Source organism: Homo sapiens, chromosome 13 (assembly GCF_000001405.40).
Source record: "Homo sapiens chromosome 13, GRCh38.p14 Primary Assembly".
NCBI lineage: Eukaryota > Metazoa > Chordata > Mammalia > Primates > Hominidae > Homo > Homo sapiens.
Window position 1 is genome coordinate 75,523,311 of NC_000013.11, and position 26,173 is coordinate 75,549,483.

The 26,173-nt window shown below is 40.0% G+C and overlaps 1 protein-coding gene across 5 annotated transcripts, besides 2 other annotated features; it reads right to left on the reverse strand.

Annotated features, from left to right (window-relative positions):
- Window positions 1-1,903: 1,903 nt before the first annotated feature.
- COMMD6 (COMM domain containing 6) lies at window positions 1,904-26,129 on the reverse strand. 5 transcript variants are annotated; one of them, NM_203497.4, is made up of 5 exons: window positions 14,454-14,531; window positions 14,354-14,365; window positions 6,804-6,956; window positions 4,503-4,541; window positions 1,904-3,329 (listed from the first exon to the last, which is right to left on the reverse strand). In NM_203497.4, exons 1-5 carry the CDS (start codon window positions 14,493-14,495, stop codon window positions 3,279-3,281), a joined length of 297 nt encoding a protein of 98 aa, NP_987093.1. In that variant the 5' UTR covers window positions 14,496-14,531; the 3' UTR covers window positions 1,904-3,278. The 5 variants fall into 5 exon arrangements, with proteins under 5 accessions (NP_987093.1, NP_987091.1, NP_001274322.1 ...); NM_203495.4 differs by lacking the exon at window positions 4,503-4,541; NM_001287393.2 differs by lacking the exon at window positions 4,503-4,541 and having other exon boundaries at window positions 14,189-14,365.
- Window positions 14,573-14,652: an enhancer, noted in NCBI's record as "active region_7829". NCBI's record gives its function as "activates an Ori minimal core promoter by ATAC-STARR-seq in GM12878 lymphoblastoid cells {active_cell/tissue: GM12878}" and the evidence as "EXISTENCE:reporter gene assay evidence [ECO:0000049][PMID:35858748]".
- Window positions 25,926-25,995: an enhancer, noted in NCBI's record as "active region_7830". NCBI's record gives its function as "activates an Ori minimal core promoter by ATAC-STARR-seq in GM12878 lymphoblastoid cells {active_cell/tissue: GM12878}" and the evidence as "EXISTENCE:reporter gene assay evidence [ECO:0000049][PMID:35858748]".

The window sequence follows — 26,173 nt, forward strand, 5'->3', positions numbered from 1 at the left end:
CATTGATAAAAGTGTGTCAAAGGGGCGCAGGAGCCAACCCAAAGAGCTACCAATGGAAAAGGTGGAATAATTTGAGCAACAAAAAAATTCAGTTATAACCCCAAGTATAAAATAAATATCCATGGGTACATACTGATATCAATGATTGAATAAATTAATAAATGGGGGAGAAGAGACAAACCTTGCTCACAGAAGAATTTCAAATAAAATACGTAGGTGCTCCACCGTAAAAGAGAGGGGTATAACTTCCCACTCCTTCAGTATGGGCAGCAGATAGTGCCTTCCTTTCAAAGAGTAAAGTATGGAAAGAAGGGGGAAAAAGAGTAACTTGACAAACACTACTTCAGTCAATTATCAAGGTCAACATAAACCACTATAAATCACTTTGCTATATGTACTCTTGGTATGACATGTAGAAAATGGCATTTTACCTCTGTGATCTTCCTCCCAAAAACCCACAATTCAATTCCAGAAACACATCAGACAATACCCAATTGAGGAGCACCCTAAATTATACCTGACTAGTACTCCTCAAAACTCTCGAGGTCATCAAAAACAAGGAAAGTCTGAGAAACTGTCATAACCAAGATGAGCTTAAGGAGACATAACAACTAAATGTAATGAGGTATCCTGGATGGGATCCTAGATCAGAAAAAGGACATTAGGCAAAAACTAAAGAAACCTAATATATCAATATTGGCTTGTTAATTATAACAAATGTACCATACTAATATGTTAATAGGGGAAACTGGACATGGAGAATATGGGAGCTCTACTATTTCCACAATTTTTCTATAAATTTAAAACTTTTATGAAGTTGTAAAAAACATAAGGTACAAAAGATTTTTAAAAATTTGTTTGGAAAGGCCCGGTGCAGTGGCTCATGCCTGTAATCCCAGCACTTTGGGAGGCCAAGATGGGCGGATCACCTGAGGTCAGGAGTTTGAGATCAGCCTGGCCAATATGGTGAAACCCTGTCTCTACTAAAAATACAAAAATTAGCCAAACGCAGTGGCGCACACTGTAATCCCAGCTACTCCGGAGGCTGAGGCTGGAGCATAGCTTGAACCCGGGAGGCAGAGGTTGCAGTGAGCTGAGATCACACCACTGCACTCCAGACCGGGAGACAGAGGGAGACTCCGTCTCAAAAAAAAAAAAAAAAAAAAAAAAAAAAAAAAAAAAAAAAGAAATTGTTTGAAAAGACAATTCTGCTTAAGTACCTTGTGAATTTTGCCTTCTTTCTATATAAAACTGATACTTATGTCAACATGTCTTGGTAGTGGAATACATGAAAAGACTTGGGTTTTGCTTGATGAATTCAGGGTGGGGGCAATCTATTTCCTTTTGAAAACTTAAAAGCGTATTAATAGTTTCCAATTTGAGAATGAGTTGTTTTCTAAAAGTTTACATTTAAGTCAACTGTTTGAAACTTGAAACACCCTTTTCCACAGAAATGTTAACAATGGTTAATTCCCAGGCCAGCCCAGTAAAGCTGATTAAGTGCTTAATAAAGCAAAACTAGACATTTGTAATAAAAATCGTGTAAAACTACAGTATGAAAAAATCTTGCTTTTTATTTTTATTTTTTTTTGGGGGGGGAGAGTGTCACTCTGTCACCCAGGCTGGAGTGCAATGATGCGATCTTGGCTTACTGTGACCTCTGCCTCCCGGGTTCAAACAATTCTCTTGCCTCAGCCTCCCGAGTAGCTGGGATTATAGGTATGTGCCATCATACCTGGCTAATTTTTGTATTTTTTGTAAAGATGGGGTTTTGCCATGTTGGCCAAGCTGGTCTTGAATTCCTGGCCTCAAGTGATCTGCCCACCTCAGCCTCCCAAAATGCTGGGATTACAGAAGGGAGCCACTGTGCAAGGTTAAAACTTGCTTTTTAAATTCAAAAGACAAACATGCAATTTAAATTTATTTCAAATCTGCTACCCACAGTGTTTGAGCCAGGGCCTAACTTTGGGTCTTTTTGCATATTGCCTTAAACCTAGAAATGCTACCCTGCAAACAGGGAAGGGGAAAGAGGAAGGTGTTAATCCGAAGTAAGTGGGAGACAGAGGAACCTCATGCACAGTTACAGAAGGCAGGTTTGCTGTTTTAACCCAGATAGAGGGGTTTCTACTCTTATTTCTAGGAACACGACGACACTGGTTGTGGGAGGGAGAGAGAAGGGATCTTTGGTTTCTCCTAATTCTAGAATCATTAATGCACTGGCATCCAGAGGGTGGGTAATAGAAATGTCTGTGGGTAGTTGGTATGCACAAATGGCCCATCAGCTAACTCATCAAGCTGGTAGGAATCTGAGCGCACAGGTGGGCTGCGGCAGGCAGCAGTCCTGGGCTCCTCACAGCTGTGTGCTACCTAGCAGGGAACAAAAAAGAAAGTGGACTCACACAGACCTGCAGAAATGCAGACAGGGTGTGAAGAGGGTTTAAATTTCTAATATGGCGGACCAGAATGTCTTGATCTATTTCTAGGCCATCTATTCTATTCCGGTGGTCTATTTGCTTACTTCTAAACAAATGCCATACAATGTGGTGGCTTTATAGTATAAAAGCGTTTAACAACAGGTTTATGTATTTAAATTCAACAGAGATCATCTAATGCAATAACTTGTGCTAACGGGTTAACTCCGTCGTACAGAACTCAGACTAAAACTCGTCTTTCCAACTCTGCGTATGTATTTGAACTTTCTACAACCATTAATAACAGAAATAATTGAATGCTAGACTAATACTGTGTAAAGGAGCAATGGTCAATCTTAATCTGATTACAAAAGTTTGAAAAAAGAAGCCTCACTCTTCTGATTGCCATTATAATAAGTGATGGCTATACTATTGAATTTGTAAAGTTATCCTAATCAAATACTACTTTTCTAATTTATATATATTTTTATATACATGACTCCAAATAAGACTGTTTATAAAATGGGTTCCATCCAGTACAAGTTTTTAAACTACTGTTGTAACACATAAATTTGTGCTGCCTCCAACAGCAATGATTCAACTGTTAGTCTGATTACATCATTCACATTATCACCAAGTATATCCTCTAAAGTGTCTAATTATCACTTTTATAAAGCACATTCACAAAGTTTTGCATTCATCACCACTACCCAGTTCCTGTTTGTCTGATTTTTATTATTTAAAAAAATGGAAAAACAAAAGTGCATTTTTCATTCAATAAATGTTCCATCCTTATTTAGTTTTGTTGCCGAAAGTGAAGTCCATGACTTTAGAATGATAGCAATTTATCAACCAAAGAATCCGTCTTCACACCGTTTCAATAACTGCAGCAATTTCCTTGAACTGTCTGTAGAAATTCTGGAGAGAAAGGGGGAAAATAATATTAATTTTGCTTTTAGAAGATATTTAAGTAGTTATTTTAATTATATCTGACTACCGGAGACTATATAACATATTAAGTTTGCATTTTAGTGTTACATTCTCAATTACTGAAGGTTGCTGTAAGAAATAGGTGCAATTTGGTACTGCAAGCAAAAATACTACTGTGGGGTTGGATAATTATCTTATGACTAAACTTTTCAAAAAGCACATGAGAAAGTCCTTTTAAGATCACACCAGATTTATTAAATACTCAGCACTGTCCTAGACACTGAAAATAAAAGCAAAAATAACAAGTTGGTTCCAGGCCTCAAAACACTTTCAATCTAGTAAAGGACCGCATTTCAGTGTGGTAAGGGCTATCTCATTTAAGATTATGGGTTCAATTACTAGAAGAGAGATCCAACATTAACTATGGTTTATATGGTAGAAGTTTATTTCTCTGTCATTTAAAAATTAAGCTGGTATAACGGTTCTCCTATAGAAGTCATCTTCTTTTAAATCTCAGGTAAGAAAGGAATCAAGCAAATTGTTCTTCTGTCTTCTCCTGTACCTACCCCAGGAAGCTAGGAGACAAATTTGAAACTTAACCTTGGCAATCAGGGTACCTTCTAATGATTTACACATCTGCATTTTCCTTCTTATTTGGTCTTAATTTTCTATTTTGCTACTTAAGAGGATTTGTATTGTTTTAATTTATATGCAAATTTGTCACAGAATGAAGCAAAGTGTAACTATTTCTTTAAAAATATGTACTGATGTTCAAAATTTTAGTTATCAAAAAGATATAAATTAAAAGCTCAAAGAATGTTCCTTAGCTCTCAGTCATGTAATGTGATTAACAGGCTATCTCGTGGTTAGTTTTAAGCCATGTAAAAACTCTCTTTAAAAGAGTTGCCTCTAATGAAAATGTTTTTGTGTATATTTATATTTAATATGATTATAATGTATGTCTATATGTATATACTATGTATGTGTATACATACACACACAATGGAATATCACACAGCCATAAAAAAGAAGGAAATCCTGCCATTTGCAACAACATGGATGAACCTGGAGGACATTGTGCAAAGTGAAATAAGCCAGACACAGAAAGGCTAATACTGCGTGATCTCACTTATATGTGGAATCTAAAAAAGTCAAACTCACAGAAGCAGAAAGGAGACTGGAGGTTGCCAGGAGCTGAGGCTGGGGGTCAATGGGGAAATGTTAGTAAAAAGGTACAAACTTTTGGTTACAAAATGAGTAAGTCTGAGATCTAATGTACAATATGGTGACTACAGTAATATTGTTATTGTTTACTTGAAATTTGCTAAAAAACATTTTACATGCCCTCAGCACACACACACACACACACACACACACACACATACATGCACACACTCTCTCCAAAAAAAAAAAAGGTAACTGTGTGGGGGTGGATGTGTTAATTAGAGTGACTGTGGTAATCTTTACACAATGTATATCTTTTATCATATCATCACATTGTGAAACCTTCAAAATACACAATTTTGTCAACTGTACCTCAATAAAGCTGGGGAAAAAAAGTTAATCCAATTGTGATTTTTTTTTTCCTATAGGAAAAAATTTCTAGAGGTGGAATCAGGACAGCACAAATGCTGCACAGAATAATAACAATTAGGCCAGCACTGTGAATTACAAAAAAGACCAAAACGTGTATTCTCTTTCGAAATTGACTGAGTCCTCATATTTAGTTGAATGTTATTCCCATATCACAATATACATTTATTTCCTTTTCACTAAGTCTCAGTTCCAAGACACTAATCAATATTAATAATGTTAAATTTGTGAACATTATTTTTGTTTCAAAGCACGGATATCTATTTTAAATAAAGAAATCAGGCTGAGCATGGTGGCTCACGCCTGTAATTCCAGCACTTTGGGAGGCTAAAGTGGACGGATCAACTGAGGTCAGGAGTTTCAGAAGTGGATGGATCAACTGAGGTCAGGAGTTTCAGACCAGCCTGGCCAACATGGTGAAACCTCATCTCTACTAAAAATACAAAAATTAGCTGGGCGTGGTGCTGCGTGCCTGTAATCCCAGCTACTCAGGAAGCTGAGGCAGGAGCATCGCTTGAACCCAGGAGGCAGAGGTTGCAGTGAGCCTAGATCATACCATTGCACTGCAATTGCATCCAGCCTGGCCAAAAAGAGTGAAACTGTGTCCCAAAAAAAAAGAAAAAAAAAAAGAAATGAAAGGGAAACAAATTATTTAAAATGTAGTTTATAAAAGCAGAAATCAAAAGTATCATAAAGTGGTATATGAAAGGGTTTTCTTTAAAAGGAAGCCTAGGACCAATATAATTTTAGTTAGTTTTACAAAGAATCACTTTTTATTTCCATTTCATTCACGATGGTTGCTTTCTCTGACTTTTAGAGTACTAACTGCTGTTTAAGTACTAAGTGTAAGTACTAACTTCGTACTAGTGTAAGTGCTAAGAATAGATTCCTACCTATTCATACCAAAAGGAACAAACCAAACAAAAACAAAACTGTACAGGACAGTTAAATTAATGACAAAACATCTCCAGTATGTACATTTAAAAGAAAACCTGGCCGGGCCCGGTGGCTCACGCCTGTAATCCTGGCACTTTGGGAGGCCAAGGTGGGTGGATCACAAGGTCAGGAGATCGAGACCATCCTGGCTAACATGGTGAAACCCCATCTCTACTAAAAATACAAATAAATTAGCCAGGCATGGTGGTGGGCGCCTGTAGTCCCAGCTACTCGGGAGGCTGAGGCAGGAGAATGGCGTGAACCCAGGAGGCAGAGCTTGCAGTGAGCCAAGATCGTGCCACTGCACTCCAGCCTGGGCAACAGAGCGAGACTCCGTCTCAAAAAAAAAAAAAAAAAAAAAAAAAAAGAAAACCTGATTTATTCCCACCTCCCCCCCACCTTTTATTCCTCCTTGGTTACAGAAAAGAGGTAGAATGATAATATGGTAACATCACTCTAAACTACTGAGTTACTTAAGTCCCTAGCTGATAAAGCCAGCCAAGAGGTACACTTGCTCTGACCTGTCTTTTGTAAACATTATCAGTCAGAAAATTCAGGGTCAACACTATTCAAAGATTCATTTAGCTTAACATTCTTGAATATTAAGCCCAAAGGAATAAGAATAAAACATTTAAATGCAAAGTAAATATCCTGCCATTGAAGATAAAACTTTCCTAAATATACTCAGAGAGGAGTACTGTTCAAGCGATCAAATGGCGCAGTACACAACTTCAGCACATTATATTGAAAATAATTTATCAAATTCCCAAAGAAGACAAATTAATGTCTCTTGCATATACTACTAGTAAACGTAAAGCATATCAATCTACAAATAAAAACCATTAAAGTTTTCCCGTAGAAAGATTTTATACATCTTTTTATGCAATGATTACAGAAAAGCTGAGCTAAAACTGGATGAGTTAAATCACAAACCTGAAACTGTGGAATCGTCATTTCAAAGCACTTGGTCTTTACTTGGCCTGAATGATCTGCCACTTTTAGCATCACTGCAACGTAAGGATACTTAAGAGATCTGCAAGTGTCTGAGCTCACAGCCATACCCAGTTTCCACTGAAAATCTACAAGCTTTAATAAGACAGGACAAAATAATACATTAGTAGTAACATTACCTGGAATGCAGATATTTATTCAATTTTACTGCAGTTACACTCAACTTTTAGTTTCAACGCTGGTCATATTTACATAAAGTATCTTCATTTTAATACTGCTAGAGGAACAATAATCAAATGAAAAAATGGAGAGGTTATAAGGGATATAAACAGTTAAAAAACACCATCATAGTTTAAAATGGAAAAAACAAAAAGTGAAAAAAAAAAATCTCCCCTCCAATGTATAACGGAAGTGGAAGGAAGATGTGGCAGTATTGGTTTCCTTTAACAGGCTTGGAGTATCTTTTAGTTCACTTTGCTGTTCCATGCTCAAGACTTACATTAGCATGTATAGTGATAAGGTGGTTTTGGATTTCATCATTGTTCATGACAGATACATACCCTGGGTGATGTGCTATGCAGTTTACATGTATTACATACCTCACTGAATCAACATAACACTATAGGTTATTGTTTCCACTTTGCAGATGACAAAAGCCAACTTCAGAGAGCTTAGGTAATGTGCATAAAGTCACACATTTCTGGAATCAGAACTGAAGCCAAAGTCTGTTTGACTCCAAAGATTACATGCTTAGTGACTACTGGTTGTCTTAATACTTTTAATCTAATTCCTGTCAATGATTGTTAAATGATGCCATGGCATAAAACATGCAGCTGTTAATACTGCCTCATATTAAGGCACATAACTCTAAAACATAAAACACAGGGGTAAATACTGTCTGTCTTGTTTCCAAAGCATAGCCTGGTACATAGCAGCCACTCAAAAAGTACTTGCTCACTGACTGATACCTTTTTCTACAAAACTAATGCTCACTGGGCAAAAAACTTCACTTGTTAATACATTTCTTCTTGGAAAAGTTAGGATTTTTGTAAATCCCACCACGTATCCTACCACATATCCATCATGAACAATGATGAAATCCAAACCACCTTATCACTATTTACACTAATGAAATATTTGAGCTTGAGGACTATGGTGAGGTAAAGAAATAGAATGGTTCCCAAGTGTGCCTCAATCAACCATAAAAGTTATATAACCCATTTTCTATTTTAGGACTTTTGGGGTATGGAATAGGGGAAGGCATTTGTAAATCTCCCATTTTTATAAAAGGGGGACCAAAAATTCCTCCTATCTCAGACTTTCTTTGCACCAATCTCCTACAGCATTAAGTCCAAGCTAGTGCTGACAAAAGGTTAACATCTTTTATAAGAAGATTGAATAAATTCATTTTAAAGAAAAGTTCTCCATATAAAAATAGAAAGGCAAATCACAAAATAACTACAAATTTCTAATAAACATATGAAAATGTGCTCACCTTAAGAAACAAGGAATTAAAAGCCACAATTAGATACCACTACACAGCTACCAAAATGGCAAAAATTTAAGTCTGAAAATTCCAAGTATTGGCAAGGAAGGATGTGAGGCAATGGGAAGTGTCACATGCTGTTGGTGAAAGTGTAAACTGGGCCAATCTATCAAAGAGCTGACTTTAGCTAGTAAAACTGAAGCTCTGCATACTGTGATCCAAATTCTACTAGGGATAGAACTTAGAAAAACTTTTTGAATATGTACACAGGATACATATATGAAAATGTCCCCAGCAGCTTTATTCATAATAGCCCTAAACTGAAAACCCAAATGTTCAACAGAAATAAAATGGATAAATGAAATGCTATACAGCAATGAAAATGAACTTCAATTACACGTAAAACCAAAAATATTTAAAACAAGTCCAAAAGTTATGATTCAGTTCACTTAAACTTGAGAAACAGGTGGTAAAACTATAAAGAGAATATGCCTATCCTTTTGGGGTGGAGAGAAGTGGGCATTGATTGAAGAGGAGCATCTGGTGGGCTTCTGGGGGACTGGTAACACTCCATTTATTGACTTTTGCTTGTGGTTACACGAGTGTTCGCTTTTAGATAATTCATTAACTGTCCATATTTTGTGCACTTTTTGCATATATAGTCCAGAGAGAGCAATGTAAGTCAGTGACTACATTTCTGGTTGAAAGGAAGAGTTTATTGTAGCCTAGGGAGTTAAGGGAAAGCTTTACAGAAGGCTTTAAGCTCCATTTTGAAGAATAAACAGAACAGGAATTGAGGAAAATGTGTTTTATTTATACATACCATAAATGCACACCTAGCAAAGAATAAATGCTTAATAAATATTGGGCGGAACCAATTACAGATGAAAAGAGTCGAAATTTGGTTTAGGGATAGAACATTTTATCTGTCTTGCTGGGTGCGGTGGCTCACGCCTGTAATCCCAGCACTTTGGGAGGCCGAGGTGGGCGGATCACGAGGTCAGGAGATCAGAATCATCCTGGCTAACACAGTGAAACCCCATCTCTACCAAAAATACAAAAAATTAGCCGGGTGTGGTGGCACACGCCTGTAGTCTTAATTTATCTGTCTTAAAGTAGATGGCTTTTGTAAGCAAATATGAAAAATAAAGTTGACAAGTGATCAAAAAGCCAGTAATTCCTTGCAAATTGAGCTTTCAGAGGTTTTCACAGTACTTTTATATCCTTTATCTTACTATGGAGAACTTACCACATTAACTCACTTAAACTTTCCCTGTAGGCATTGGGGACTCAACTCACTGAAAGTTTTTGTTTTGTTTTTTTTTTTTTTTGAGATGGAGTCTCGCTCTGTTGCTCAGGCTGGAGTGCAGTGGCACGATCTTGGCTTACTGCAAGCTCTGCCTCCCGGGTTCACGCCATTCTCCTGCCTCAGCCACCCGAGTAGCTGGGACTACAGGCGCCCGCCACCATGACGGGCTAATTTTTTTGTATTTTTAGTAGAGACAGGGTTTCACCATGTTAGCCAGGGTGGTCTCAATCTCCTGACCTCGTGATCCGCCCTGCCTCAGCCTCCCAAAGTGCTGGGATTACAGGCGGGAGCCATCGCACCCGGCCGAAAGTTTTTCAATAGAGAGAATGATATCAAAATATTGATTAATGGATATTCAGGCTGGGCACGGTGGCTCACACCTGTAATCCCAGCACTTTGGGAGGCCAAGGCAGGTGGATCACTTGAGTGCAGGGGTTCCAGACCAGCCTGGGCAACAGCCCTGTCTCTACAAAAAATACAAAAGTACAAAAAGTAGCCAGGTGTGGTAGGGCATGCCTTTAAGTCCCAGCTACTTGGGAGGATGAAGTGGGAGGATCACCTAAGCCCAGGAGGTCAAGGATGCAGTGAGCTGTGAGCATGCCACTGCACTCCAGCCTGGGCAACAGAGCGAGACCCCAAATCTGAAAAAAAAAAAAAAAAAAGAGAGAGAGAGAGATATTCTTCTGGTGGCAGCAGAACACAATAATCCAAGTCTGAAGTTATGTAAGTGCCTGAACTAAGTTGGTGACAAGCAGGACTAAACTGATCATATGAAGGATGCATTGCTAGGTCTTGATGATTGCCTACAAGATACAACTATAGTTGTTTATAGAAAATTATAAAAAATTGAGCTTGGATAACTGGGAGAATGCTGAGGTATCCAGTCCAAAAGTATCATTAAGAGATGATACTAGGGTTATCTCTATAGGAATGTTCAGAAAGTGGCTAAAAATCCAAGAACAGAATTCAGGAGAGTTCATGAGTAGAGAGAGTTTTAATTCCAGTTCAATAGTGATGTCCAAAAACTAAACCAAGAATTCATTTTCCTTCTTTTTTTTTTCCAGACAGGATCTCAGTCTGTTGCTCAGGCTGGAGTGCAGTGGCATGAATGTGACTCACTGCAGCCTAGACCTCCTGGGCTCAAGCGATTCTTCTACCTGGGCTTCCCTCCCCTAAATGTTTGAGTATGAAATAAGTAAGCAATTTCTTATTCTTAACAGTATTTAGCCTGTACAACTCCTTGATGGAAGAAGTTCCACTTTTACCATCAACATTAAAGTGGCAGAGTAAAGGGTTGCCTATTTGTTTCTCAGAATCTGAAATAAAACTAGAAGATTTCAAGCAGAAAAGCAATGAAGGCGTGCAATGCTAAGTTCCACTCACTATTAAAACAGTGAAATTGTCAGGTGAGGAAACGGAGAGCTGCCATCAAGACACTGTGCAAAGTCAGTCTTCACAATTGAAAGAAAGCTAAGACTAGGTTTATGAGATGAGAGTTTCCAAAATTCTAACCTCAACAGTTAAATGCAAACTGAAAGCAAACCTTCTAATAAGTGTGGTTTCACCTTAAGTAGGAGTGAACTGCACAGATTTTAAAAATAAAAGAATATAAAAGAAAAAATCAGAACAGAGAGCACTTACCACTATGCAGAATGTTAAGAATGAAACAATGTGCGGTAGCCCCAAAATCATTGTATGATGAAGTATTAAAAAAGGAAAACATACAAAGAAACAAAAAGCTAGTAGTAAAAAAGGAAATATAAAAACATCCAGAAGTAAAATGAATATAAAGAATAATCAGAAAGTAAATATATAAAAAGGTAAACACACAAATTAGCTGTAGTCACACTAAAAATTGATGTGGAGGCTGAAGTTACTAGTAATATAAAAACATGACTATAAAAACTGTCTATATAGATAAAACTGGTAATTCCTATGTGTTTTGAGTAAGAGAGGGAGGCCTCACTATTCAGTATATACTAAGCAATACTATATTCTAGGAATTAGGGATGTAAAAAATAGTTCCTGACCTTCAGAATTCTAGTGGGGAAGGCAGACAATAAACAAAAATATAATGTAATGGTAGTATTATAGCGTGACGAAATGCAGGGTAAGGTGACAGAGTGACAAGAAAGGCTATTTAGATATAACCTGGGACGACCTCTTTCATGCGGCTTTTGAACAGAAAGAGACTCGAATAAAATGAAGAAAAAGCCACAGGACCTGGAGAAAAGAGCATTCTGGACTGAGGGAGAAGCATGCTTGGCGTGTTCAGGGAACAATGAGGCCCAGGTGGCTGGAGGGGCATGAGCTAGGAAGAGTGGTAAGAGATGAGGAATCCATCTTCGAAGGGCCCTGTAGGCCACAGTAAATACCTACGACTTTTTTCCAGTGTGACAAGAATCTCTTAAAAAGCTCTGAGTAGCGGAGATACCTGGTCTAACTTACATTGCAAAAGGCTCATCCAGACCGCCAGGTGAGGCACAAAGTTTAAGGAAGTTGGAAGACCCTGTTACAAGGCTACTGCGGTATTCCAGGAAAGAGAATGGCGGCTTGGACCCAGGTGGCAGCAAGAGGAGGTGAATTTAGAGTGAGAGAAAACAATATGCTGATCTGATTGTATGTCAGGTGTGAGGGAGAGTTGGGAGCCTCCAGTAATTTGTCGATTTCAGTTTAGGCACTGGTTTCTGTGGAGCTTCTGCTCTAAGCTGTGGTTCTCTGTATTCGCAGTCTGTCTCACCAATTTGGGGGACAGCAATTTGCCCTGTGACCTCGCTTCTCTGACAGATCCAAGAGGAGTTGTTGATTTTTCAGTTTGTTCAGTTTTTCCTTGTTGCTAGGACAGGTGGTGACTTCCAAGCTCCTCATGCGCTGGATCACAAAGTAAAAGTCTACCGCTTTTTGTAATTTTCTTCATAAAACTTTTAAATATCTTTTATTAGATTTCTTGCAAGATACTCCGTAATTTTTTTTTTTTAAGAGATGGAGTCTCACTCTGTCACTCAGGCTGGACTGCTGTGGTGTAATCACAGCTCACTGCTGCCTCAAACTCCTGGGCTCAAGAGATCTTCTCTTCTCAGCCTCCTGAGTAGCTAGTACTACAGGTCTGTGCCTCCACACCTGATTAATTTTTTTATTTTTATAGAGATAAGGTCTTGCTATGTTGCCCATGCTGGTCTCAAACTGCTGGCCTTAAGCAATCCTCCCAAAGCCCTGAGCTTACAGTCATGAGCCACCATGGCTGGCCTGTAATTTCTTCATGTTATAAATGACATCTTTAAAATTATATTTTCCAACTCTTTATGTCTGAACTAAAGAACGTTCAACAATGGAATCACCTTGCTGACTCTCACATTAATTCTAATAATGTTTGTAAATGATCTTGGCTTTTCCTATGCAAACAATCATATAATCTGTGAATGACTGCATAGAAGGATGTGCAGTAGGCTGAATAATGGCCCTCCCAAATATGTCCACATGCTAATCCTCAAAATCTATGAATATGTTACCTTAGGCAACAAAACAGTATTGGTAGATGTGACAAAATTAAGGACTTGGAGATGTGGAGATTTTCCTGGATTATCCAGGTGGGCCTAATGTAATTGAAAGGGTCCTTATAAGAGGGAGGAAAAAGGGTCAGAGTCAGAGAAGGCAATGTGACAACGGAAGCAGAGGCTGGAATGATGTGCTTTGAAGATGGAAGCAGAGGCCACAAGCTAAGGAGGAAACATTCTCCCCTACCGCCTCAGAAGGAACAAAGCCCTGCAGACACCTTGCTTTTAGCACCGTAAGACTAGTTTAGGACTTCTGACCTCCAGAACTATAAGATAATAAATTTGTGTTTAAGCCAAAAAGAGTTCAACTTTAAAAACCCCATAATTAGTATAATTCTGTTTCAGAATATCTTAAATACAAAACTTAACGTAAGAGAATGGATAAAATGACTTATGAAAGATTGACTCGAAATGCACTAAATCATATAACTAAGCAAAGCCAGGTAGACGGTTGACAGCTCTCTGACTTCCCCTACTTCCCAGGAATCCTCGAAAGCAAGATCAGTTAGAGAAAAATGACAGACAGCAGTCAATGGACACCTCTTTCAGCCCCTGTATTCTAATTATTTCTTACCTCATCCCTTTCTTACATTTTGTATGGACTTGGGTAACTCCTGGCCTAAAAATACTCTAGTTTTAGTACTCCTATTCTGGGAAGTGTGTTATAAATTATTTGCCTACAAATAGTTTATTGGCTACAACAGCACAGCAGCACTTGAAACAGAAATGGGGCTAAGATATACTTTAAAAGTCAAATTCATATTCCTAGCATTATAAATGCATACTCTAAAAGGCTAAAATGCTATACTCCATCTTCAAAAATAACTTAGAGACTAAGAAAATGTTTGCGGTGCTATCTCTGCAAATTTTCCTAACTTCTTTATCCAACACTTTAAAATACCGTGTTCCTGGCTTCGAATAACTGTCGCCTAATCAAAGCCCAACAATCCTTGATCTGCATTCTTCGGGCTAGTGCAGGGTGGGGAAGAGGAGCTTTCATTACAATGGCAACGGCTACCGGCTCAGGTGCAAAAGAGAAGGAGCAATGCAAGAGGGACGGCTGAAGGTCACCGGCTCGCGGACACAGGACTAGGGGAGACCTGGGGAAGGCTCAGGGTGGCACGGCCTCGCGGCCGTGGGAGGCAGGCTGGCGGAGGACAGGGCGGGGCGGCCGCTCACCCACCTGGTTGGTGACCTGAAACGGAAGCAGAAACACAATTTAGAGAAACATCTTTCTTGCTCCAGAGCCTCGCTGCCCACTCTCCTTCCAGGTTGGAACTCACATCGGACTTAGCATCCAGCGGCGGCTCGCTGGACGCCTCCATGGGCAGCGTCTGGGACTTGCGGCCCGGACTCGAGAGAACGCCCCCAGACCAGCGCTTCCGCTTCCACGTCCTGCCCCTAGCGGCCTGGCGCATGGGGCGGACGTAGCAGGGGAAGCTGAAAAAAGCATCTTTATGTGACTCATATTTTTTCTTAATTCAACATATATCTTAGGAGACATTGAGCTAAAAGAAAATTATTTTATGGAAAAAGGCCAAAGATTTGGGAGATACTTTGAGAAGAGAAGCGCTAATTAAATTTAGGATGCCGCTTCCCCCATCTAACAGTGACACGTGGGCTCTTCCAGACTGGAGCGGGGCGGGGCACAGCATCCCGCTGCGCGGCTCCTCAATCCCAACCAAATTCGGAAGGCGCTGGGCGACCGCACCCCCGGCACATGGGAGTTTGTCCTGCAAGGGAAGGCTGTGGGAACCACAGTTATAGGATGAGCTGCTTCGCTGGCCTAGCTGTGGGCGGGGCATGCTTTCCATTATCCCTGCTGTTCCTCTTGAATCCCAGCCCTCAGTCTGGCTGCGGAATACCTTCCCATCTTGTCTTCCCACCTCTTTCCTATTGACCTCAAATCCATCCTACAGGAAGTATCCACAGTGATGTTTTTTCCCCGCCAACTTTGTATTTTGAAAAATTTATTTTTTTCAGAAAAATTGCAAAAAATAATTCAATGAACACCTGTATACCCTTCATCTAGATTCACCAACTGTTCGCATTGTACATATTTGCTTTATCTCGGCTTGTATTAAGGATGATACTTCACTCCTAAATGCTTGAGCATGTTGTCTCCTAAGAACTAGGGCATTCTTCTAAATAACCACAATTCAACTATCACATTCAGGAAATTTAATATTGATAAAATACTATTCTCTAATAAATAAGTCAAATTAAAATTTCCCCACTTGTTTAAACAATATTCTTTAAAGTTATTCCCTACCCCATCCACAACTAGAATCTAATCAAGGGCCGCCTTGAATTTGGTGATCATGTCTCTTTAGTCTCCTCTAATCTAGAACTGCACCGGTAAACGGTCAGCAGGACTGTGTTCCTCAATGAAGGTTCCGGGGTGGTGGGGTTTGGGTGGGGGACAGGGGTGGGATCTGCTTTCAGCCTCAATTCAGGTTGTTGGCAGAGCTCAGTTCTGTGCAGTTTCCTTGCTGGCTTTTAGATGGGGACTCCCAGCTCCTAGAGGCCATCTGCATTCCTTGGCTTGTGGCTCCTTCCTCCACCTTCAAAGCCAGGAAGGGCAGGTCAAGTCCTCCTCACACTTTAAATCTCTCTGATCTCCCTTTCTGTATGATCTCTCCTGTTCCTGTTCCTTCTTTTGCCACATCTCTCTGACTCTAGCCTGAAAAAATTCTCTGTTTCTAGGGGCCTAAAAAATTATTAGATCAAATATAACCAAACAATTAACTTTTTTTTTTTTTGAGACAGAGTCTCAAAAAAAGACACTCACTCTGTCACCCAGACTGGAGTGCAGTGGTGCAATCTAAGCTCATTGCAACCTCTGCCTCCCAGGTTCAAACAATTCTCCTGCCTCAGCCTTTTTGAGTAGCTGAGATTGCAGACATGCATCACCATGCCTGGCTAATTTTCATATTTTTAGTAGAGATGGGGTCTCTCCATATTGGGCAGGTTGATCTGGAACTCCTGTCCTCACGTAATCCACCCACCTCGGGCCTTGGCCTCCCAAAGTGCTGGGATTACAGACGTGAGCCACTGTGCCTGGCCTCTTTCTATCTTAAGGTACATAAATTTTAATTATATTTATAAAGTCCCTTCAGATCAGTACCTAAATTAGTGTTTCAATGAGTAATCAGGATGGAAATCTTTGGAGGAGGGCATTTTTAGAATAATGCTTACCTTAAATACCCTCATAGGGTTGTTGGAGAATTACATTAGTTAATGCATGTTAAGCACCTAAAAATGTCCCTGGCATGTAGCACTCGGAAACTAGGCCAAAAAACCAAAAAACAAACAAAAAAACCCCCCACTGACTCAAGGTTATTGGACGTGATTAAATGTACTAATTAGCTTGGGAGGATAGTCCCTGAATGAATCAGACGATTTCTTCTCTAAGGAAGTCAGATGAAAACACAGAACACTGCTGTGCATCCAGCTGGTCAGTGTGTCGGTTCTTTTTGCAAGGAAATCTTTTTTTTTTTTTTTTTTTGAGACAGAGTCTCACTCTGTTGCCCAGGCTGGAGTGCAGTGGCGTGATCTCACCTCACTGCAACCTCCAACTCCCGGGTTCAAGCGCTTCTACTGACTCAGCCTCCCAAGTAGCTGGGATTACAGGCGCATGCCACCATGCCCAGCTATTTTTTTGTATTTTAGTAGAGATGGGGTTTCAACGTGTTGCCCAGGCTGGTCTCGAACTCCTGAGCTCAGGCAATCTGCCCGCCTCAGCCTCCCAAAGTGCTGGGATTACAGGTGTGAGTCACCATGCCCAGCCCCAGGAAATCTTTTTCTTCAGTTCTTGTTGTCATCATGGTGAGGGGGTGGTAAATACACACACACACACACACCCACACACACACACACACACACACACACAGACACACACCCCTTAACTTTGTAAAAATGCTTCAAAAAGGTGAAAAGATGTGTATTTTAAAAGGTATTTTTTGTTATTTCTTTGTATTTTTCATGCATTTCTTTAAAAACTGTTTATTATTGTTCTAATTCAACATGAGTGCACTTCAAAAACCTATCGATCTGATTTGGGGAGAGTAAAATGTCATTAGAGTTTAGGGCAATCTCTGCCAATTGTTACTCCAGCAACACGTGATAAACTGTTTATGTTTCAGACCTCCATCTTACAAGAGATCACTTACACAAACTTCGCAGTTGGAAAATACAGATGTTATCAATAGAGTCAAAAAATGCTAATATTAAAAATGCATGAGTATAATTTTGTTTTATTTTTACATAATGACATATAAGTAGAACATATGTCAGAAAATATTTTTGGAGCTCTTACAGTAAGCCTAGTACTATCACATGCATAGGAAGAAATCCATAGAACTATGGCATAAACTCTGATCTCATGAGCATTATGGTGTAATGTAAAAAACGAAATTGGTACTCATGAAGCAGGCAATGCTTCAATTTAAGTATTTATTTTAAGACTTTTTTGTGCCAAGAGATATGCAGTTGTCCCTCAGTGTACTTAGGAGATTGGTTCCAGGACCAATTAAGGGAGATGACAATGTACCAAAATCTGCATATACTCAAGTCCTACATACAGTCTGTCCTGCTGAACTTGAGTATAGGAAAATTCTGCCTCCCTATTTGTCGGTTTAGCATCCTGGGAGTATAGCAGCTTTGATCTGTGGTTGGTTTTAAAAAAAATCTCACCAGCACAGTTCAAACCCATGTTGTTCAAGGGTCAACTGAAATTCTAACTTGAGCTAGCCTAAGCAAAGTAGCAGAAATTATTGTCTCACAGAGGCAGCCTTTGAAATGTAGTGGTAGCAGCTTCAGGGTCAACAGAATTGTGAGATGTGAATAGCAAAAGTGCCCCATCTCCACTTCTCAGTTGTGGTATGGCCTTCTGCTTGACTGCTGGCTTCGGTCTCTTCAGCTTCTCCATACATTGTTGGAGAGTAGTGTGTATATATAGACATATGACCACCAACATCTCTGGGTTCACAGCCTTATGACTCATGATCCAAGGAGAAAGAGGAAGCTGCCCGTTCATCTCAATTCTCAGAGAAGGACTCTAGTTGATCTGCTTGGACCAATACGGGTCTGGAGTGATGTGTTACTATTTTTGCCCATGTTGCCTGCTGTGTTCATAAGGCGTAGAGTTGTGTGATTGGTAGAGTCACTGGAAGTAAAAGGGGTGAAAAGCCATGCTCTAGAGAAGATGGAGGTGAGAATGAGGCAACAAAGCTTGGGTGCAAATATACTAGGGAAACAAAATAAATGTGCACTCAACATATTTACTATACTGTATTACAATACACTATCCTGTGTAGTCAATGGATATGGTATGCAGAATAATGGCCCCCCAAATATGTTACTTTCTAATCCCCAGAATTTATGAATATGTTATGGTGCATGTTTAAATAACAGACAGAGGCTCTCTAAAAGAAAATATTTATTTGCGCATAGGGCATTGCAGCAGAAATACATATGCCATAGTAAACTATGTGCATATTCAAGGAGGTAAAGGAAGACAAAGGTTTTTAATGGAAAAATGAGGATGATTACATAATTGTTTTGTGATAATTTTCCTTGCCTACAAGTATTAATAACAAGGGTGATGCCAGTCATTAGCTGGACAGGCAGTTGCTGGGCAGATGACCTTGCAAAAGTATTTTTTGTGTAAGGGTGCAATGGCCTTTGTGCAAGGTTGTGGTATTGGCAGAGTCTTTTGTGATGGTTTTTGTTATCTGGCATTTATGCATGAAAGCTGTCTCATGGCCTTCCCCAGCTCTATTTGTCAAGGTTTCTTTTTCTTTCTTTCCTTTTTTTTTTTTTTTTGATACAGAGTTTCACTCTTGTTGCCCAGGCTGGAGTGCAATGGTGCGTTCTCAGCTTACTGCAACTTCTGCCTCCTGAGCTTAAGTGATTCTCCTGCCTTAGCCTCTCAAGTAGCTGGGATTACAGGCATGCGCCACCATGCCCAGCTAATTTTGTATTTTTAGTAGAGACAGGGTTTCACCATGTTGGTCAGTCTGGTCTCGAACTCCTGACCTCAGGTGATCCACCTACCTTAGCCTCCCAAAGTACTGGGATTACAGGCGTGAGTGACTGCACCCAGCCCTTTTTTTTCTTTTTAACACAAGTGACTCCATTATGATTCTTACAATTTTCACAATTACATAAAAAGGGGGAATTAAGGTTGCTAATTAGCTGACTTTAAAAGGAGGACAGTTTCTTGGATTCCTCAGATGAGTCCAGTGTATTCACAGGGTCCTTAAAGATGAAAGGTAGAGGCAGAGGAGTTAGAGTCAGAGACAGAGAGGGAGTGTTAGAGTGATAGATTCCATGTGAGAGACTCAGCCAGCCTTTGCTGATTTTGAAGACAGATGGAGGCCAAGAGCCAAAGAAGGAAGGCTGCTTCTAGAAGCTAGAATGGGCACATTAGCAAAGACATGGAATCAACCTAGATGCCCATCAGTGGTGTACCTGGATAAAGAAAATGTACATATACACCATGGTATACTACACAGCCATAAAAGAGAACAAAATCATGTCCTTTGCAGCAACATGGATGGGGCTGAAGGCCATTATCCTAAGCACATTAATGCAGAAACAGAAAAACAAATACATGTTCTCACTTATAAGTGGGAGCTAAACACTGAGTATACATGAACATAAAGAAAGGAACACACACTGGGGCCTACTTGAGGGTAGAGAGTGGGAGGAAGGCGAGGATTGAAAAATGACCTATCTGGTACTATGCTCATTACCTGGGTGTTGAAATAATCTGTATGCTGAGCCCCCCTGACACACAATTTACCCATGTAACAAACCTATACATGTATCCCCTTAACCTAATATAAGTTGGAAAGAAAAAAAACAGCTGGAATAGGAAAGAAAATGGACTCTCCCTTATATCTCCCAAATAGTTTCCAGAAGGAACACAGCCCTGTCAACATTGTGATTTTAGCCCAGTGAGCCCCATTTCAGACTTTTGAACTTCAGACCATAAGATACAAATTTGTGTTGTTTTAAGCCACTAAATGTATGGTAATTTGTTATAGCAGCAGTAGGAATTTGACAGAGTAGAGCATAACAATGAGTGCTGCGATCTTGACAGTCACCTAGGCCTGAATCTAAAGCCCTCTTCTACCACTCAGCTGTGTGATATCATTCAAGTTGGCTTTTCTGAGCATCAGCTTTCTTAGCTGTAAAAATAGAGCTATCAATATTTGTCCCACAAGGTTTTTATTAAGGGATAAATGAGATCTTGTATGTAAAGCATGTAACAAAGGTTCTGAACATAGTAAGTGCTGATAAATCCTAGATGCTATTGTCATCAGCACGATATTCAATACTCCAAAGAAGCCTATAGGTTATGTAGATCATACATTATCTCTATTTTAAAGGTGAGAAAACTGAAGTTCAGGAATGGTAAGCAACAGCACCTAGCTAATAAGTAAAACTTAAAGCAGTCTGGTATTAATTTACAATTTGCAATCTAATTTCAGAGAGCTCTGGAGAGATTCCTGACTCCCAGTGTATCTGCTGAAATGCTCCTCAGCTACTTTCTGCTAATTGACTGTTTTATTTGTACTCCAGGTTATTCAAGAAGATGAGTGATTCTGTGTGTGTTGTGGTGGTGGTGGGTGGGGGGGAGGTGGGGTAATCATCAAGCAGCATCAGTAAGATGCAGAACCGGGAATAAGCATGATCACTAATCCTATAATCATGGAAGTTTTAGAGTTTAAAGTGGGACTTAAAATTTTTAGCCTTTAGGCCAAATTTGGCCTACTCACATGATTGAAAAACAAAACAAAACAAAAAACAATCTATATCAGAAACTCCGAATGAGAATGCACTTAGAAAAGTTTTATGCCTTCCAGTTGTCACAGTCCTTACATCACTCTTTCATTTCTCCTGTCTACTTCACACATTTGAAAACTTCAAGACATAGTTTTCAACCTTCGGCTTAAAGGTTGAAGAGTCTAGTGTTAAAAAAAGTGAGACCAGCCAGGCATGGTGGCTCACATGGTGTAATCCCAGCACTTTGGGAGGCTGAGGTGGGTGCATCACTTGAGGTCAGGAGTTCGAGACCAACCTGGCCAACATGGTGAAACCCTGTCTTTACTAACAATACAAAAATTAGCCGGGTGTGGTGGCACACACCTGTGATCCCAGCTAATCTGGAGGCTGAGACAGGAGAATCACTTGAACTCAGGAGGCAGAGGTTGCAGTGAGCAGAGATCGCGCTACTGCACTCCTAGGCAACAGAATGAGACTTTGTCTCAGAAATAAAATAAAATAAAATAAAATAAAATACAAAAAATTTGGTGGTGCACGTCTGTTTGGGAGGCTGAGGCACTAGAATTGCTTGAACCTGGGAGGCGGAGGTTGCCATGAGCCAAGATCGCTCCATTGCACTCCAGCCTGGGCGACCAAGCAAGACTCTGTCTCCAAAAAAAAAAAAAAAACAAAAAACAAGACTTAAGTAGGTAAAGTGCCTGGTTTAGAGAAACACAGCTAGATAGTCATGATTTCTGATCAAGTGTGGAGAATGAGTTCATTCTGAGGACAAGGCCTAATTACGTAAGGCATTGGTATGTTTTCAAGCACTGCCAAAAGGCCACGTTTAGGAATGATAGTTTGGCAATACAACATACATTCAAGGCAGATGATGGGTACAAACCCATGCAGCAGGAAGGAAGCTGGACATACTGCTATTAAGATAAGTAATATAAGATGGTGAGTAGTCAAAGTGAAGTGCCATGAATGAGTTACAGGTATACAGAGAGACTGACCCCGCCCAACCCCACAGCCCTAGGGGCAGTTAGGTGGGGCCTGAACGTGAAAGATTCCCTGGGCTGGTTACAACTGTGATGACAAACTTAAGTCAGGTGTTGTACAAATAGCAAATTTCATCAATTCTTAGACATGTATTTTTTCACATTTACATCAGGAATTATAGTGACCATTACATCAGATGGTTTCTTTTTCTTTTTCTCTTTTTTTTTTTGAGATGGAGTCTTGCTCTGTCACCCAGGCTGGAGTGCCGTGGCGGTGGCGCTATCTCTGCTCACTGCGAGCTCCGCCTCCTCGGTTCACACCATTCTCCTGCCTCAGGCTCCCGAGTAATGGGACTACAGACGCCCGCCACCACGCCTGGTTAATTTTCTGTATTTTTAGTAGAGACCGGGTTTCACCATGTTAGCCAGGATGGTCTAGATCTCCTGACCTCATGATCTGCCCGCCTCGGCCTCCCTGAATGTTGGGATTACAGGTGTCAGCCACCGAGCCCAGCCTCAGATGGCTTCTTAAAGTGATAGTTAATCAGGGTAGTAGTCGTGACTCAGTTGTTTTTGCAGGTGCATGCATGAACTTCTTCATAGCTCTTCTACACTTCTATAGAGTTATGAATATTGTTTGCTCTATATTTACTATGGTTAATTGCCATTTATAGCACAATAGGGTGACTATAGTCAATAATAATTGTACATTTTAAAAATAACTTAAGGAGTATAATTGGAGTGTTTGTAACTCAAAGGATAAATGCTTGAGGGGATGGATACCCCATTCTCCATGATGTACTTATTTCACTCTGTATGCCTATACCAAAGCATTTCATGTACCCATTTCAATATATATACCTACCAAGTATCCCCAAAAATTGAAAAATAAAATTTTAAAACATTGACATTTAAAATGTCTTTTAAAAGGCTATGCTGTAATTTGGCAAAACAAAAAGTTACTGGGTATGGAAATAAGCATGAACAGAACAACAGGTTGCAAACTTGCACTGGTGAGGCAAATATGGACTATTGGAGGAATAGCCACAATTCCATGTATTCTTGCAAAGTAACCAAATAATTTACAATTCCTAAAAAAGGTGGATAGCTTTGAGTAGATAAGTTACTCAAGTTGCTTATTTCAGTTTAAGGTTGGAGAAATCACCAAATCCCTCAGAATATAAGAAAAAAATGTATTAGGATGAGAGAACAGTTTTTTGAGTCACAAGTACTCTTGTTAAGGCATCAAACATTAATTTGTCAAAAACTTCCTGCTTGTCTTTGAATAGAAGCTATTAAATTTCCAAAGATGTATGATTCAGCAGTTGCTGCAAAATGTAACTATATGCTTAGTCAAGTAGGAAATAGCGATAAACCTTTATATCCTTTGACAACCATCAAAATTATACTGTCAATGCTAAAGATACTAAAAGTGCATGGATTTATGTAAATAAGTGGCATGACACTATGACACTGTGCATAGGCATGCCACTATATTTAATTGAAAACTGTAAAATATTTAAGAAAATCTTCTCCTGTGATGATATTGTGCATACTCACAAGAAGGGGATGTACAATGTTTTAGTTGATGATCTATAAAGTTGCCGTGAACACTGAATTAGCAAATACTAAATCGTTGCTTCTAGGGGAAATACAGGTTAGGTTCCTGTGAGCCTGTGGTCACAATATTTTCATTAGCTAATCAATACATAACCTTGTTTTATGTGTATTTCTGTTTAAAAACACCTTATGTAATATATATTGTTGATTCATTAGCATTGAACTACAGCCAACAGCACTGTAAGTGAAAACCTGAACAAACCTTATCTAATATGTGTATTTTCTCTGTAAGGCACATGAAAGCCTCCTTGGGCTTGGGATTACTAAATAGCAGTTGAGCACGATGCTTGGGGGCCATTTTAAACATTGAATTCACTGACAAAAATCTCAAAAATGGGAAAATGAGCATTAAATAGACCATCAAGAGGACTCTCGTTTCCAGTATAAGAGCTGCAAGAAGAAGGCAGAGTATCACCTTGCTCAACCTTGGCTGGGAACTACAATTTTTTGTCATCCTGTGAATATTTGTGAGTGACCACGACAACTTTGTGAGTATAGATTTGGGAATTACCAATAAATTTTAGCAAGTAGGCAGGTTCAAAATGCAAAACCCATAAATAATGAGGATGGACAGAACTTTGTAAAACTTCAAAGTCATATGGCAAAGGATGTGGGTAAAGGGAAGATTAAAAAATTAGAACCAGTGATGCCCAATCTTGGGCTCTGTCTCAGACTTATTGAATCAAAATCTGCATTTCATATTCCCCAGGTGTTTTTATGCACCTCTGAGACATGCTGCCCTCAATACCATGATAGGTACATCCATACCAGACGGTGTAGGTTAAACTGTATAAACCATATAAACCAGACGGTGGAAGTTAAAATGTACAGTTTAACTCTACAAATTAGAGTCCTACATTTGTAAGGGTTTTATGGGTCTAAAGGTCTGGGGTGTGCTAGGACAACCTCTGTAAGGTGAAAGACAAGTTATTGCATCTTGCAATTCCTATTCACAGCAAAATGGCAGAGAACCTACTGGGCCTCTTTGGCTTTTGGAGATAGAATATACACTTGGGAATACAGCTTCAACACATTTATTGGGTGGTATGGAAAGCTACCAATTTGAGTGTATCCCTAGCAAGACAGTGCTCTGCAGCAAGTCCCTGCTGGGATGCAAACTGTCTTGCTGTCCGGCCTTGTGTCTCAGCAGATCCAATGCTGCTAGTGTCCCTGGAAGATAAAGATGCTGTGTGAAGTCTTAAGCAACCCTAACAGGTGAATCACAGTGCAGAACCTCAGGGATCTGGAACAAGGCAATTCCTTTGACAGTAAGTAATTTGAAAAGCAGCCCCTGGCATGCACTGAGTCCAGCAGAGACTAAGAGTCTGGCAATGTAACTCTAGTGATAATGCAACTAAGCCCATCACGAGCTGGACACTGCCAGTTTTACCAAGCCAAAGTGTTAGGTGAGTATAGCAGCAATCCATTAGATAACGATGAAGAGGAGTTAAGGTAATGAAATACCTCTGAAGTCAAAGAACAGTGGCCAGAAGAACGTGGGTGGGAGAGTTGGAAGTTTCCCAAGAAATATAAGCTCAGCATAATATTATCTTTTTCTGACTCCCTAACTGCTCTCTACCTGAATTTCCTCTATTAGGTGCAGAATAGTAATATGCACTCTTCCCCAGGTCAAATTTATGGAGTTATCATTGATAACTTCTGCTCATCAAAGGCATCATCCCTTAAAACAGAATCTCTTTAATCTGTGCCTTTCTCCGTGGCTACTGTTTTAATTTTTTCAGCATTTATTTCTCACACGTTTTTCACATTATTGACAAGTGATGTTTCTGCATATCTGATCATCCCATTTATTCTTCAGATGTTTACCGAGCATTTTCTATGTATCATGCACTGGGTTAGGCCCTGGATAAATAATGTGAAGAAGAAAAAAGAGACACTGCTACTGGGCTCCTGGAATTTGCAGTTTGGTGAAAAAGATACATGACAAATCCTGCTTAAGATCCTTCAGTGGTTCCTTGCTGTTTTCAGGAAGCCCAGATGTCTTGACCGGGTTGCCTCTGTTTACCTCTACAGCATCACCTCTAATCAGCACCCTTTACTCTGCAGCCACAGTGCGTTTTCCCTTCTTCACAGCACCTTCCTCTCTGCCTAGGTAAAGTCTACCATCTTTTAAGGGTTCAGTCCAGGAATCCACTTTTTCAGGAAGACTTCTGGACACTCTCTTCCCCCTTCCTCCGTAATTCCAGCACACTTCATGCCATCACTATCATATAGGTACCACGCTTTTTATCCTGATTCTCCGTTGTCTTGTCCACTGCCTCTACTCTACAGTGAACTCAACTTTGTGTCAATACTTAGTACAGTGATTTCTAGTACTCGACATTTTTTGTCAAATGGAATCGGATATATAGAAACACCCGCTGCCTCCCGCAAGAGCAGACAAGGCCAACCCATCACTCCTGCACCCCGACAAACGAACAACAGCACCGTGCTGCACGGCGTCCTCCGGCCTTGCTGCCTGGCAATGGGTAGCCACCTGGCGTCTGTCTCAGAATAGGACTCCGCGGCACGCCTCCTAGCGCAGTCGGTTGACACTGCAAGAATGGGAAGGTGCGGGTGACCACGCGGTCCCAGACCGGCGCAAGGCG